Source organism: Homo sapiens, chromosome 4 (genome assembly GCF_000001405.40).
Source record: "Homo sapiens chromosome 4, GRCh38.p14 Primary Assembly".
Lineage (NCBI taxonomy): Eukaryota > Metazoa > Chordata > Mammalia > Primates > Hominidae > Homo > Homo sapiens.
In genome coordinates this window covers 92800338-92815872 of record NC_000004.12, presented here as the reverse complement: position 1 = coordinate 92815872, position 15535 = coordinate 92800338, and the positions used below count along the sequence as shown (strand labels likewise).

The following is a 15535-nucleotide window of genomic DNA, read 5'->3' as shown; positions in this document are numbered from 1 at the left end:
TACGGTCACGGCTCACTGCAGCCTCCTGGACTCAGGTGATCTTTCCACCTCAGCCTCCCAAGTAGCTGGGACTACAGGTACACACCACAATGCCCAGTTAGTTTTTATTTATTTATTTATTTTGTAGAGATGAAGTATCATCATGTTGCCCAGGCTGGTATTGAACTCCTTTGCTCAAGCAATCCCCCTGCCTCAGCCTCCCAAAGTATTGAGATTACAGGTATGAGCCACTACACCCAGCCCCAATGTTATCCTTTAAGTATAATAAGATTATAACATTTCAGAAATCAACATGTGTTAGTACAATATTTTATAACATTCAAAGATGGAAACTAAAGTAAATTTCCTATACCTACCTTTATTTAAATTAATAGGAAAATCAATGTGTGGCATAATCCTTTCAAAGGTAGAAACTTATGTTTTTAACTAGCTGATACCAAGACTTGTCATTTGTCTTTCTGATGTTTAAAGTAGCTACCTTCTAGCTTTCAGCAAGCCCATTTTATTAATTTTCAAATTGGTCAATCATAAATCAAATATTGACTTTATATACACCCATATATGCCCACACATGCTCATACACTTACTAAGCACAATAATGTGCACTTATGTAACACAGTTATCTTTAATGCTTAGGATATATCTTGTGCACATAAAATGTCAAAGTTTATATCATATTAATAAGAATATGATGGAGAAATATAGTAATATTTATTTGAGATTTTTTAAAAATCCTGGGCACAAAAGGAAAGTTAAGAATGTATTTCTATCTTGTAAGAAATTCTGATTTGTTCAAAGAGTCAATAAACAAGTATATTGTGCCAATTATGAATACATTGATTATCACATCCAAATCCACCCCCCACTGCCTGCTCTACAATAATGGAGATGGGTTTGATAAATATTTCTCCCTTGTGAACTTGCACATTTTGAGCTCTGTCAGTACATGACATTGGGGGGACACTAGAGGGAGAAAGGTTTCTCTTTCTGGTCCTAGTGTGCTCCTCTCAGCATGCAGCTTCTTTAATACCTGGCTCCTATAGAACATGGTGGCTAGAAGCACCCAGACACTGTGTCTGATGGCTTTTCAGTGAGTTCCGAAGCCCAGCACTTCCTGTGGATGGCATCTTCCACACCCCCTTAAGTTGCTTTGCATTAACTTTCAATGTGCAGTCTCCTTGTGGATAGCATTTTCCATTACCCTCTCAGATAGCATAGCAGTGAAGTGTTGCCAATGAGGCACCTCTACGAAGATGGCACCCCTTAGATGGCTTTGAAGAGGAGTGCTGCTGGTTAGGATCCTCCCTATGGGTGACTTATTTGGAATCCCAGAGGAAAACATTTCCAACAAGTCCTGCTGTTCCAGCACCTCAGCAATTTGTCCACCAGCCAGTGAGCCACGGGCATGTCCTCACAAATAAAGTTTGGATATCAGCCTTGCAGGGGATGAAGAGGTTCTTTTTGGGTACCTCTCAGCTTCAGAGGCAATGGTTTCTCCTTATAATTATTATTACTATATTCTTTAGACTCCTCTTTAGTTATTACTAGCTAATCTTCCATTACATAAATACTGTATTATATCTACTTATTCTTTATGTAAAACTTTCTCCAAATTACTGTGTGGGTTCTATCTGTTGGTAGGCCTCTGACTACCACATACATCAAAAGTAAAATAAGATCCAATCCAAGGATCAAGTCACAATAATACAAGACACAAATACAAAATGTGCCCACTCCATGGCATAAAAGAAATAGCAAGTGCTGCAACAGAAAATGAAAGTATCAGTAAAATGCTTCATGGACTTTGGGTTAGATCTCCAAGGATAGAGGACATTTTTTTTCAGATAGAGAAGAATAGGGAAAACTTTCTGTGAATGACTTAACAAAGGAACTCTGCTTACATTGTTAGGGAATCAATGAGTAGGAACAGAGAACTGGCAGGGTAAATGTAGAAGATTAATTAGGCTAGAAATATATGGTAAGATCAGATCCAAAGAATCTTTCAATGCGATGTTAAGGATTTTGCACATATTATATAGACACTGGTAAGCTAAACAGATTTTCACCTCAAAATACGTTTCCTTTAGAAACTCAGTTTTATATTAGATACTTTATCTGTGGACACTGACTTATAATATGGTTCTGCCTGATTCTAAAATGAAATCATATGCTTACATCTTAAAAAGTGTGTGTGAGTATATGTGTGTGTGTGTGCGTGCGTGTGTCTGTACTGAAGTTAAATGAAGAATTCTGATAAATCTGAATGGATATAAATATGTATTCAAAAGCAAAACAGCTGAAATAATTTGTCAGAGATGCCAGATACTAAGAGCATTATTTGTATTATGAATATTTTGATTTTGGTAGGTGTTATGAATTGAATGTTTGTATATCCAAAAAATTTTATATGTGAAATCAAATCCCCACAGCATACGGAGTTAGGGTCTTTGGGAGATAATTAAGTAGAACCTATTAATGAAATTAAGCGCCTGTATAGCTTGCTCTCTTTCTGCTGTGTGAGGATATAAGTTGGTTGTTTGCAACAAGGAAGAGGGCTTGAACCAGAACCTGGCCATGCTGACGTTCTGATCTCAGATGTCTAGCCTTCAGAATTGTTAGACATAAATGTCTGTTGTTTAAGCATCCCAGTCTATGGTAATTTGCTATAGCAGCCTAAATTGACCAAAACAGTGGGTGACCAGGAAATATATTTTTATCATAATTTCCTTCACAGTCCATATTGTAAACATCAGTTATAGTTTAAGAACTGCAGGGCATAAAGATTTGACATTTCAAGATAGAGTCTGAAGGAAATCTAAAGGTATATACACATATCTTAAAAAGCCACAAGTAAAAGTGCACATTATTCACTATCCAGAGGAACAGAATTGAGTCCTGGATACTATCAAAGTCATAAAATGACATAAAATGGATATTACCTAGGGGTTTAGATAATGCATTCTTTTCCCATTTTGTTAAGCTCTGAGTGAGACTGAACTGTCAGACACCTGTCAAGTAGAAGGAAACTTCAAGCAACACCTTCAAGAAGTAGCAAATTAAGTATCTGTCAACGAGTTATTGGACTGAATGGGAATGTCAAACATGCCAGAATTATAGACACTTTCTGTATCAAGTTGCAAGATTATTTATAAAGAGTTGTATACCTGTACAGCATAAATCAGTTTTTCATTCATCTGATGCTAGTGATCTTATCATCACTATATATAATTCAGCTTGGATAAGAAAACAAAAATCACCATATAAAGTTGCTTTATTAAAACAGGGGTATTATGCTAAATTAATTATTGGTATTTAAATACTACATTTAAAATCACAGTGGTAATAGTGTAATGAAAATATACATGTAAAATTTGCATTTATATGATGTATGGTTTCATCCATGTGTTGATTGTAATTTTTAAATCCAAATACATTTCCATTTTCTCAGGGAAGAGAGTTCCTATCACCAAAAACACCCTCCTCCCATGGAAAGAATGTTTTGATTAAATCTGTTTCACTCTTTTTTATTTATCCGATTTGGCAGATCATTTTCACCACTTAAGAATGTTTTTATAATCTATATTACAATATTAAATCAGAGTGATTTATTTTTAAATGTCTAAACTGACATATATCTCACTCACAGATAATAAACATCCACTTACCTTTCTTGGGAAAATGCTGATATTCATATATTAAAGATCTTCACATATTTATTTGAAAATCAGAGTTCCTAATAAGCTATTGCTAAAAACAATGTTCATTCACGTTCACATAAAGGTTGTACAGATTTTCTAAGGCGAAGCCTTTTTGGCACATGTTATTTTTAATATATAGAATATTGTAGGGAGCAAACAAATGGAGTTTACTTATGCAAAATGCCTATTCTCAAGATTTAAAAATTTGGTAGATGATCCTTACTGGTACTGCCTTTCAGATGACTGAATGTGACAGTCTCTAATTACAGATAAGTACATCTTTAAAATTGAATCTAAGCATAAAGAAGTACGTCACGATTTTGAATTATTTGATTACCTCTTTGCTACTTTTAAATTGTTAACAGACATTTGTTCAATGATATTCACATTGTTAAATATGTCTCCCATTTTCATATGATTTTACTTTAATTGTCGACTGTTTATATTTTACTCACAATAAAATTATATTATAAAATGCAATTACTTTAACTGGCATAAGTTCCTGAAGAAAAAAATCATATAGGTCAATTTTCCTGACTCATTATTCAGCCATCAATACAATCCTGGACCTCTAGTGAAAAACACAAAACTGAGTCAATTTGTTTTTGAGAAATACTAGGATATTTGGAATCATTTAGGTAAATTTGGGGGTTAATGACTGATTTGATATACATTTCAGTTTATCTCAGTGAATAGACAATTACAAAAATAATGTCCTCCCTCACATTTTGTTTTAATGCATGCAAAACAGACAAAATACAAAAGAAACAGTAAAGAAAGCAATTTTACAGATAATACTGAAAATATTAAGTAAAAGAAAATTTGGGTATGAAATATACTAAAACACGGAATTTTCCTTTTCCAATGCATATACACTGGAGTCAGAGTAAAAAAGGTATGGATATGTTTTACTATTATTTAAAAGAAAAATTATAGTATAAAACTACATTTTTAGTTAGAAAATTATACTTTTTATTTCAAGGATTTCAGGGACAGTTGCATACTGCAAAAAGATATTTTTGGATTAAGTACCTAAATGCTCTAAGATTTATCTTAGATATGGTACCAGGTGAACTAAAAATCTTGATTCTAGGCCAGGCACAGCAGTTCATGCCTGTAGTTCCAGCACTTTGGAAGGCCGAGGCAGGTGGACTGCTTGAGGCCAGGAGTTTGAGACCAACCTGGCCAACATGGTGAAACTTCATCTCTACTAAAAGTACAAAAATTGCGTGGTGTGCACCTGTAGTCCCAGATAATCTGGAGGCTGAGGCATGAGAATCACTTGAACCCGGGAGGCGGAGGTTGCAGTGAGCCAAGATTGTGCCACCACACTCCAGTCTGGGCAATAGAGTGAGACTCTGTCTCAAAAACAAAATAAATAAATAAGTACGAAATAAAAATTTAAGAAAACAGCAAGCAAAAAATTAAAACCTTGATTCCTGCTAAAGAGAAATGTATTTTACAAAAGTAGTTATATAAGCTTTCATCCTCAAAGTTACTATTACACTTCCATTCATTTTTCTTACTGTGGTAAGAATTCATAAGATTGTCTATGAATCAGATTTACACACAACCTTGTATATCTACAAATGCCTCACAAATTTTATAATTTATGGGCTACCAGTAACAGTGCCAATGTGAAAAATGATAAAAAGTCATTGACACTTCTTTTTATTCTTTTTTAAAAATTGTATTATTTCAGTAGCTTCAGGGGTACAAGTAGTTTTTAGTTAAATAGACGAACTGTGTAATGGTGGAGTCTAGGATTTTAGTGCAACTGTCACATGAGTAGCACACACTATGCCAATTTTTAAAAATTCTTAAAGTGTGCTATAATTCCCAAAAATGAAAATATCTAACTGTGGTTAAAAAAATTTAAAATAACTCATAAATTAAGGATAGGTTCCGTGAAATTTGCAAAAAAAAAAAGTGCATCCTAAAAATCTCTAATTTCATCAAATTAGAAACTGTAACTGAATGAATTTTCAAAAAATTTTAAGTTCTTTCAGAGACATAAGTGACATTCAAATTTATATTGTTCAATCAAATATTAGATGATATAAATTATACTAAGTAGTCACAACATTGAAGTCATATTAAATCTGATGAAAATTATGCTTATATCTAATTGAAATTATGTTTAAAGTTGAAGAATTATCAATAGAACCCTCAGTATCTATCAGATGAAATACTATATTTTCAAAAATGAAAAGTGAACAGGACCAACGTTTGTTGAACATCTACAAGGTGTCAGGTCAGACATTAACAGGAATTATTAAGTTTATACTTCACTACACCTGGTGATATAAATATTATGATATATTTACAACATAAACTATACATTTTTAGATGCAATAAAGAATAAAATAGTGGAAAAATGCATGAGTTTGGTAGGTAATACCTTCAACTGCAGACTAATGCAACTATAGTGATACAGTGGACAAATAACAGCATAATGTAATTTTAAAATAATATCTTGTTTTATCCTATTTCTGTTTGGTTTGCCAATGTCAGATCAAGAAGGAGATTATTCATGCTATTTTTCAAACTGGGGCTGGATGGTCACCTATCAGGAGTATTGCGAAATGGAATGTTGCAATTTAGAACAGAAGACCATTTTGGAGGTCTCCTTCAAATCTAAGAATCTAGGATTTGAAATATTCAGGAAAGCTAATCAACTTCCCCAAAATATTAAACGTATATTCACTACTGTATCTCACAAATAACTGCAATCACTAACTGTATGAGTAGGCACTAAAATGACATTTGGGTCAAAGAAGATTCTAATAAATATTTATTCCACATTCCATGATAGTAAATTTTTAGTATAGTTCCTTGACAATAGTTCCCTCAGAATTTTTTATGCAGGTTCAATTTACTGCTGATTATTTTCATACTCCTAAGGCTCAATTAAAATTTATTTTTATTTGCAAAGTGGCTCAAAGTTTTAGCCATGAAAACTAAGATTTTTTAGTTTTAAATACTACTACATGCTATCTCTTAAAATGTTTGTTCTAAAGGGCATGGATAAGAAAATATTAATAAAATGTGATGCTTTTGAAGAGACAATTTAGCAAGATATTATATTAATATTTTGGCAGAGTATCTTTTCTTGCTCAAATCATGGACCTATTTCCGCAATTATACTATGTGAAAATATTTGTAAAATATGGCTAAAATTAAGGAAATTCATTTTTATACCCTATTTGATTTGTAAATTTGTTTGACCAAAATGCTCTCATCTAGGATATCCTTTGAGTGACTGTCTTATTTCTTCACTTATCCTAGCATAAATATTGGCCCAAAATATTTTGTTTTATCCAACTGAGAATATAAGTTTCTCAGTGTTAGCCAACATGGGAATAAAATAGTAAAAAAAAAAAAAATTCACGATCTTTTGCCTTATTAACGTGTGCATTTTGCTGGGTGAAAGTACCCAGAGATTTCATGTTCTGTGACCTCAAAACAATAGTGTGTATAATGATATTGAACCCAATACTTCAGTTATTTCCAGTACACTGATGTTTATTCAGTTGTTCAGTTCTCTGGTCCTGTTTATAAACTTAAGCTCTACAAAAATAAAGCAGAAACAATGAGTTCACTTTGACTTGAAAGTTTCTTCCGAAATGGAAGTTACCTTTTCTAATTAAATCACTTCCTTTGCTTAAATTTTACATCCCCTAAACATGTTTATTTCTAATCTAAAATAATTCTGGTGAAATATTTGTAAGCAGTGTTAATCATATATGCTGATCTTATGACTGAGTAACAAATTCTGATTTAAATTTACACCTTATTGGTACCATAAAATGTTTGACTTTTTTACTACTTTCCTATTGATTCTGTAACAAATTACCAGAAGCTTAGTGGCTTACCTCAACACGAATACATTATCTTATAATTATAGAGGCCAGAAAACCAAAATGGATCTTATGGAGTTAAATAAATGTTTCAACTCTGCTGTGTGTTCCTTCTGGAGGCTTCAAGGAGGGTTTCTTCCAGTCTCTAGTGATACCCGCATACCTCAGCTTACACCCTTTTCTTCCATCTTCAAAGCCAGCAGTTGCAGCACCAAAAAATCTCTCTCCTGCTCTGACACTTTTATCTCCCTCTTACAAGAACCCTTATGATTACAATATAATCACCCAGATAATCTGGGAAAATCTCCCCATTTCAAAATCCTCAATTTAATTATATCCGTAAAGTCCTTTTTGCAAGTAGGTAATATGTTCACAGGTTTTGGGGATTAGAACATGGGCATATTGGGGAGACATTATTCTGCCTACCACAATACTTAATAATGTTCATTTAAGCTGATTTCCACAAAATAATACATAGACAGACACATACGCACACATGCACACACACATAAACATGTGGGTAAATGTAGAAGTTAGAAAAACTATGTCTAAAAGAGAACGTGAAGTTGTTATAATGATATCCTACCCCTGCTGATTCTCTTCCGTCTTATTATTTCTTCAGCATATCTTATCAACGTCTCCTTTCACTTACAATTTGAGGGGACTTTTCTGCATATATGGTAAATTAATTGGCCAATGTCTCATGTCATGGTCATCTCTTTTGGTAGTGCTTTTGTATTTTTTAATATTATAGATTTTATTATGTGTATAAAATATTCACATATTCTTCATTTGAGAAATATTCCAATTACAACTCCTTGTATTCACTGCTTATTTTTTGCCTTTTCTTGCTGAGTCACTGATACTTACTTTGACATTTTTTTTGCACATCACATTTAAAATATGCACACAGAAAGAAAATATATTAAAAATATAAAAAAGGTACAAACTTTAATCAACATATATGTTGCCTAGGTAGTTTTATTTTTTATGAGTCCTCTGAAAATAAGCAAAGGGTACACTTTATCTGTATGCACAATATATAGATATTCCAGAAAAAGGTTATATTTAAAAAATGGTGCAGTAGGCCAAAATTTAAATACTCAATTTAAGTCGAACTCACATTGTTGAAATGATCAAATGACAAGAAAGCAATCTGTTCTTAAACATTTAAGGCAAATACATATATTGAGGCATGATCATATAACCTGAAATTTGGAACAATATTGGATGAATATGTAGAAAACTGAGCCTTTACAATTGCAAGAGAATAAAAGATGATTGATTTTCCAGATAATAGGTGAACAATTGACATATTTCTTTTAAATTCCCTATTCTATCCAAAATGCATGTTTTTATGTCCCACAACATATGTCATAGCTGCTTTCATCCCCGGACTTTTGCTTTTTTTTGGTCTCTGAAATGACTTCACCTCTGCCCTCTGCCTATCTAAATATTATATAACCTTCAATTTCAATTGTAATGATAACTTTCTTTGAGTTAATCATTTAAAGCTTTTGTTTTCTTATCTGCAAATTACAAATAATACTAAAACTTATTTGCAGAAGTTTTGAAAGTTCCATCAAAATACTATTAGAAATACTACTGAAGTAAAATTATTTTTTCAAACTATGAAATGTTGTCCAAATAATAATTATTAATATCTTAGATTATATTTGGTATGTACAATATATGTCAGGCTCTTATATATCTTAGGTCCTAATTATCATACTTAGCACAGAACATAAATTTCAAATAAGATACATTACTTGGTATAAAAGAAAATATATATTGTAATAGTGGAGACAGAAATATAAAAAGAAGGCTTATTTTCTTAAAAAAATACATACTAGGAAAGGGGTCAGCAGAAGGTATAATGGAGGAAGAACACCTATGTCAGTTTTGGAACAACAGATGAAAATAAGCCTATTGCATTTATACAATCTTTTAATATAGATAACAAGAACAATATAACCACAAGTCTCCAGTGTATTTTTAAAAATTCTTTGTGTAAGAGATAGTTTTCTAAGTCCTTCTTTCGGTATCCTAAGGAGTGAATGGAATCTCTTAAGGTAACGAAAATGTGATTTATTTAGATATCCGTGTGTGTGTGTGTGTGTGTGTGTGTGTGTGTGTGTGTGTGTGTGTCGATAGCCTATTTTCTAATAGATTTGACATAGTTTATAGCAAAGATGCAATATAACCCTTAAATCACAGTACATATAAAAGGGCCAAGAATAAATGATGTTTGAGAGAAATATTGTTTCAGATAATTTAGAATTTTGGGAATTTGTATATATTTGAACATAATGATGAGAGAAAAGATCAATACAAAATATGATTGTGTAGTGCCAGGAAGGTGATAGTAGGGAGAAAAAACAGTAAATACGATTTGCAGAGTTGAAAGGGAAATCAAAGAGATAATCTGAACTCTTGGAAAAAGAGCTCAAAAAAAATAACATATAGAGAAACTATGAGAAGTGTCAAAAAGAGGAAATTACTTTTTTTTCTTTCTTTTAAGAGAGAGTTTCACTTTATCACTCAGGCTGGAGAGTGCAATGTCAATGTCATAGCTCACTGCCTTCAACTTCTTGGCTAAAGTGATTCTGCTGCCTGGGCCTCCCAAAGTGCTGGGATTACAAGCGTGAGCCACTGCACCAAGCAAATCATCTTCCTTTAAACACCGTATAATAGGATTTTTAGAGATCAAGAGAACTTTAGAGGATCTAAATTCAGAATTTCCCAAACGATGTCTCCAAAATACATTTTATTAGTTGGCATTTCTTTCATAAAAATCGCTGATCATATACATTTGTAAAAAGTACCTCAAATGAAAGAAATGCTTTTGCTACATAAATTCTCAGACCCAATGCTGATGTGTCCTCAAAAGAAGGATGTTGTATTTCCCAAATGTATTTGACCACAATTCTCTTTTTATAGTAATTTCTATTAACACCAAAAAGAGAATTTTGGTGTTGGGAACAATAAGAAATCCCAATTTAATCCATTTATTTTATTTATGTTATTAAAATAACTGTATAAATGAGGTAGTTGAAGCACAGAGAGAGAGAGAGAAAAGTATCAAAAAAATCACACAGAAATTTGGTAAAAGAGAAATAACGATATCGTTGTAAAAAGCTGCACTGCAGTAGTTATTAGAAGGATAAACATAAGCAAATTTAATCTGTTTCTTAGTTTCATCATGTAGAAAATGAGATAATAATAGTTACCTATCTGCTAGACTTGTTTTGAGCATAAATTAGTTAATACTTGCAAAGCTTAGGATAGCTTTGGCCCATAATAAAAATCAGAAGAAATATTAGCCAGTATAAGTATTAGCAATGGAGTTTAGGCAATAACAAATAACCACATAAAGTTGGATAATGTAAGTTATCATTCCCATCAATTTTTCATCTTAAATGCTAACTGCTGACCTAGTAACAATAAAGACAAAATTGTTATTAAATTAGGTTATTAAATTTAGGCTCCAGCCTATTTACAAAAAGACTTCAACTAGGACACTTATGAATAAACTAGAAATACTTTACTTCCCACTTGCAGTTGCATTTGCAAACTCACAAAGCAATCTTGGTGAATTAATTAAGTTATACGATACTTGCTACTTTTTAGTTCTGTTTCCCAATTCTCATTTATATCTAGAGAATACAGAATTAAAGCAGTCTTACAGGAGAATACTAATCAAGAAAACAATTTCTTACTCAAAAGAAAAATAGTTTATTAAAATGCACATACTAAGTTTTGCTGTTATTGTTAGACTGAGTATATATCTGTACATAAACTCACCTAATAATTTAACCATTTTTTTTACTTATAACCAAACTAGACAATATCTTCTACAGAATTTTTCTCCTGACATATGATATAAATGACATTCAGCTCATAAATTGCCAGTATTCATATCTATTATAATTGTAATCCTTAAAACTAGAACTATTTTGTGCCTATGCAAAAAATATTAATGGTTATCTCTGAATTATATCCATCCTTTGAAATGTTTTGTAAAATACAATAATTAAATAGAATATTTTTCCATATGATTTAATTACTTTAATAACATAGTAAGATTATTTGTCTACTAAAAAATGATATGACCTTATTTGCAAAGAAGATCTTGGAAGACATCAAGTTAAGGTAAAGTCGTTAGGGTGGGCCTTAATCTGTTGTTACTGGTGTCCTTATATGAAGAATGAAATTTGGATGCAGATACACACAAAAAGAATACGATGTAATGACACAGACACAGAAGGAAGTCTGGCTTGTGGCAGCATCACTCCAATCTCTGCCTCTGTGAAGCCCAGACTGAAGTGATGCTGCCACAAGCCAAGAAATGCTAGGGGCTACCAGAAGGTAGATGGCACAGAAGAATCCATCCCTAGAGCCTTTGGAGAGAGCATGACTCTACTGACATCCTGATTTCAGACTTCTTGCCTCCAGAACTGAGAGAGAATAAAGTCTCATTGTCATTTGAAGCCACCCAGTTTGTGGAACTCTGTTACAGCAGCTCTAAGAAACAAATACAAAAAGAATGTATGGCTGTATACCTTTTAGCATTCAATGCAATAAAAGCAATTACTTTCATGCCTGGGGTCCCCCTTAAAAACAAGAAGATAAACACATGTGAGTGGGCTCCAGATAGAAGCAAAAATAAAATGCTCTGAAAATCTTTTCACTGAACTTAAAATTCTATAAACACACAGAAAAAGTTATTATATGAGGAGATACAAAGATTGGTTGATGGGGTACCTGAATTTCTAGAAATACATTTTTTTATAATGACATATGGGCTACCTATTATTAGGAAGAGTATCCACAGTTAGGAAAAGTTAAAACAAAAATGACATCAAAATAATATATTTTCTTTCCCGTCTTTGTTATATTTAACATTGAATCTATATAAATAATTAAACTTCTATTTACATTTGTGTTAAAACTCCATGATATTGAAACAAAATATGCATTGTATAATATCTAATGGGGACTCCAGGAAAACTCCTGAATTACACCTTACTTTTGTGATCACAAAGGGATATTGAATTCCTTAAAATGGTAGTCTCACTGTGAAAATGGAAATAGAATGCCAGCTTTGGTTAATGGCTACCAATTCTTTATTTTTTTTCTTCTACTTCAAATTTTGTATGGAAAAAAATAGCACTATATTAAGAGGAAATTAGCACCAAAAGATTGTGAACATCCCTCGAGAGAGAAAAACAAAGTCTCCAAAAAATATCCTGATATTACCTAGACAACAAATATTGTCTTCAAAACAGGAAGCCAGCAATAAATAGTTCTATCCTATCTCTTAGATCTGTGAGGGCAATCTTGGGTTTTCTCATATGAACTTTCTTTGGGATTCACATATGGTTCTACATATTAATAAAATAGAAAAATGCAGCAGTGATACCATTCCTAGTGGTTCAGACTTATTCTAAGGCTCTATCCCTAACCTCCTCCCATTGGAATGAAGAGGCCTGGTAATAACACAATCAGCAACATATCGTGGAGGCATCTTCCTACTTGATTTGAAAACTTACTATAAAGCTGCTATAACCAAACAGTATGACATGCTCAGAAGAATAAAATAATAGAGAGCTGGGAAACACAATAGGGAGCCCACAAATAGATCCAAATATATACTGGCACCTTATTGTATGAAAAGCAAACTTTAGCTTTGTAACGCAGTAGAAACAGAATTACTTGTATAATAACTGGAATTGGTTCAATGGCTGTGTGAAAACAACATCATTGGATTCTCTTGCAGCAACAATGATTATGATATATACTAGATAGAGTAGATTTTAATGCAAAAAGTACAACTAGCAAAGGGCTGGGTGGAGGCAGTGATAAATACACAAAGCACAGAGAATTTTTAGGGCAGTGAAACAATTTCGTATAACACTATAATGGTGGATATATGTCATTATATACCTTTGTGAAAGCCACTAGAATGTATAAAACCATGAGTGAACCCTAATGTAAACTATGGAATTGTGTGATAATAATGTGTCAATGTAAGTACATCAATTTTAACAAATGCACCATTCTTGTGTATGATGTTGATAATGGAGAAGGCTGTGAGTGTATGTAGGGACGGGGGCTTTATGGAAAATCTCTGTGCCTTCTAGTCAATGTTGCTATGAGCCTAAAACTTCTCTAAAAAATATTGTATATGTATTTTAAAAAGTACAACTTAGGATAGACAAGTAAAACCAAAATTATAATGAAAACATTGGCATAATTAACAGCATAAGAATTAATAAAATTTAAAAATCATCCGATAGTATATTATGAAGTTTTTTTTAAAAAAAACAATGTGGTATTTCATTGTATACCTGTGTGGTCATGGCCACCAGAGATGGATTGCCCAGGTATGAATCTTGGCTATGCTACATACTACCTGTGTGACAGAGGAATAGCGATTTAACTTCCTTTCTCCTCAGTTTCTTTATCTATAAAATAAGGATAAGAAAAAGTCCAACTTTTGGGTTTGTTATGAGTATTATGAGTTAATAAATGTAAGGCACCAGAAAAGTACTTGGCATCTATTTAAGCATTGCACTGTTTGTGTTAGCCTATATGTATTATTACACTAAATTTACCATATGCTTATATTACTTTTGCTTATATATATGCTTATATTACAAAAATATTTTATAAATAAGTATTCGCATGTAAAGATGACCAAGTTATGTAGCTTAAGTGAAGTAATCAATTTGAAGAACAGAATAATATGTATTATTAAATAAAACAAAGAAATCTATATGCTATAATACAGGTTTTGAATACTTATATGCAACTATTAAAGCAAGAAAAGGTACACTCTGCAGTGTTTACAATGTTTACCTTAATGGGGGTGGAATTTTAAGAATTGAAGAGAGAAGCGTAAAGGGTTTTTGCTCAGAGGTTTTTGTAGAAATAAATTACTTGCATAAAAAATAACAAAATTTCATCCATATGATTAATATGCCATAAACTTAGCATAATATTGTGAACATATGTTAAACTTTTAAGACAAGACACACTACACAGAAGTTATCCACAAGATAAATGATTGGCAAAGAGATGATTCCTTGGGAGGAACTTCTAACAGCTGGAAGAGCCCGTAGTGTGTTGTCTGCCTTTCTCAGGGGCTCTTCTCAGAGAACTAAAAGAATTTCTTAAAGACACATTTCATGTAATAATGTATTCTAAGAAAAGTGCTTAATGTTTTTATCATTGCATTGCAACAATACTCAATGAGCCAGGTGCTATGTGACACATTATATATGCATTGCATATTTCAACTAACTCAACAATCCTTTAATGTAATCACCGTGTTTATCATTATGTTTCCGGATGAAAAAACGGAGGCTTAAGAGAGCTTAAGTAACTGAGCAAGACAGGGGTTAATAAAAAGTGGGACCAGTATTCAGATTGAAATCACTGTTCTGTGTTTTAAGATTTTAGCCTGGGACTTTCAACTGTCATCTTATTATATGGAAAACATTTTTGGGTCTAAATCTGTCCAAGAGTGGCCTAGGCATAATGTCTTGAGTCCTGACAGCCTAAAATACCAGAATCAGATGATCGGGCTTCATGACTCTCTAGAATTTTTTTTCTCCCCTGTACCATACTGAAGTTGAAGATCGTCCTATTATGCTTTACACTTTGTTTCTGAATGCCCACAAGTATCAAAAGTGAATATGATGCCAGTTCCAACTGGCTGTAAACAGCAGTAATGTAAACACATTATTTTGTTATTCTGAACCATGTATATGTGACTGTGGTTACCTCTCCTTCAATTGATATGCCTTCCATATTGATATATGTGCTATTTTATTTCCTATTTGCTTACTCTATTATGTTAGCATGTTGTGTCAATCTACAACCTTGATTCCTTCTTAACTAATTCTTAGTTCAATATTTTTATTTCTTATCCCAAGGCTACCTCTTCGAGTTGCTTTGCTGAGTTTATTTCTT

At 32.5% G+C, this 15535-nt stretch overlaps 1 protein-coding gene across 5 annotated transcripts in view; it reads right to left on the bottom strand.

The window, feature by feature from the left end:
* GRID2 (glutamate ionotropic receptor delta type subunit 2) overlaps nt 1–15535 on the bottom strand; it is a 1506491-nt gene that overhangs the window by 994584 nt on the left and 496372 nt on the right. The window lies entirely within an intron of this gene.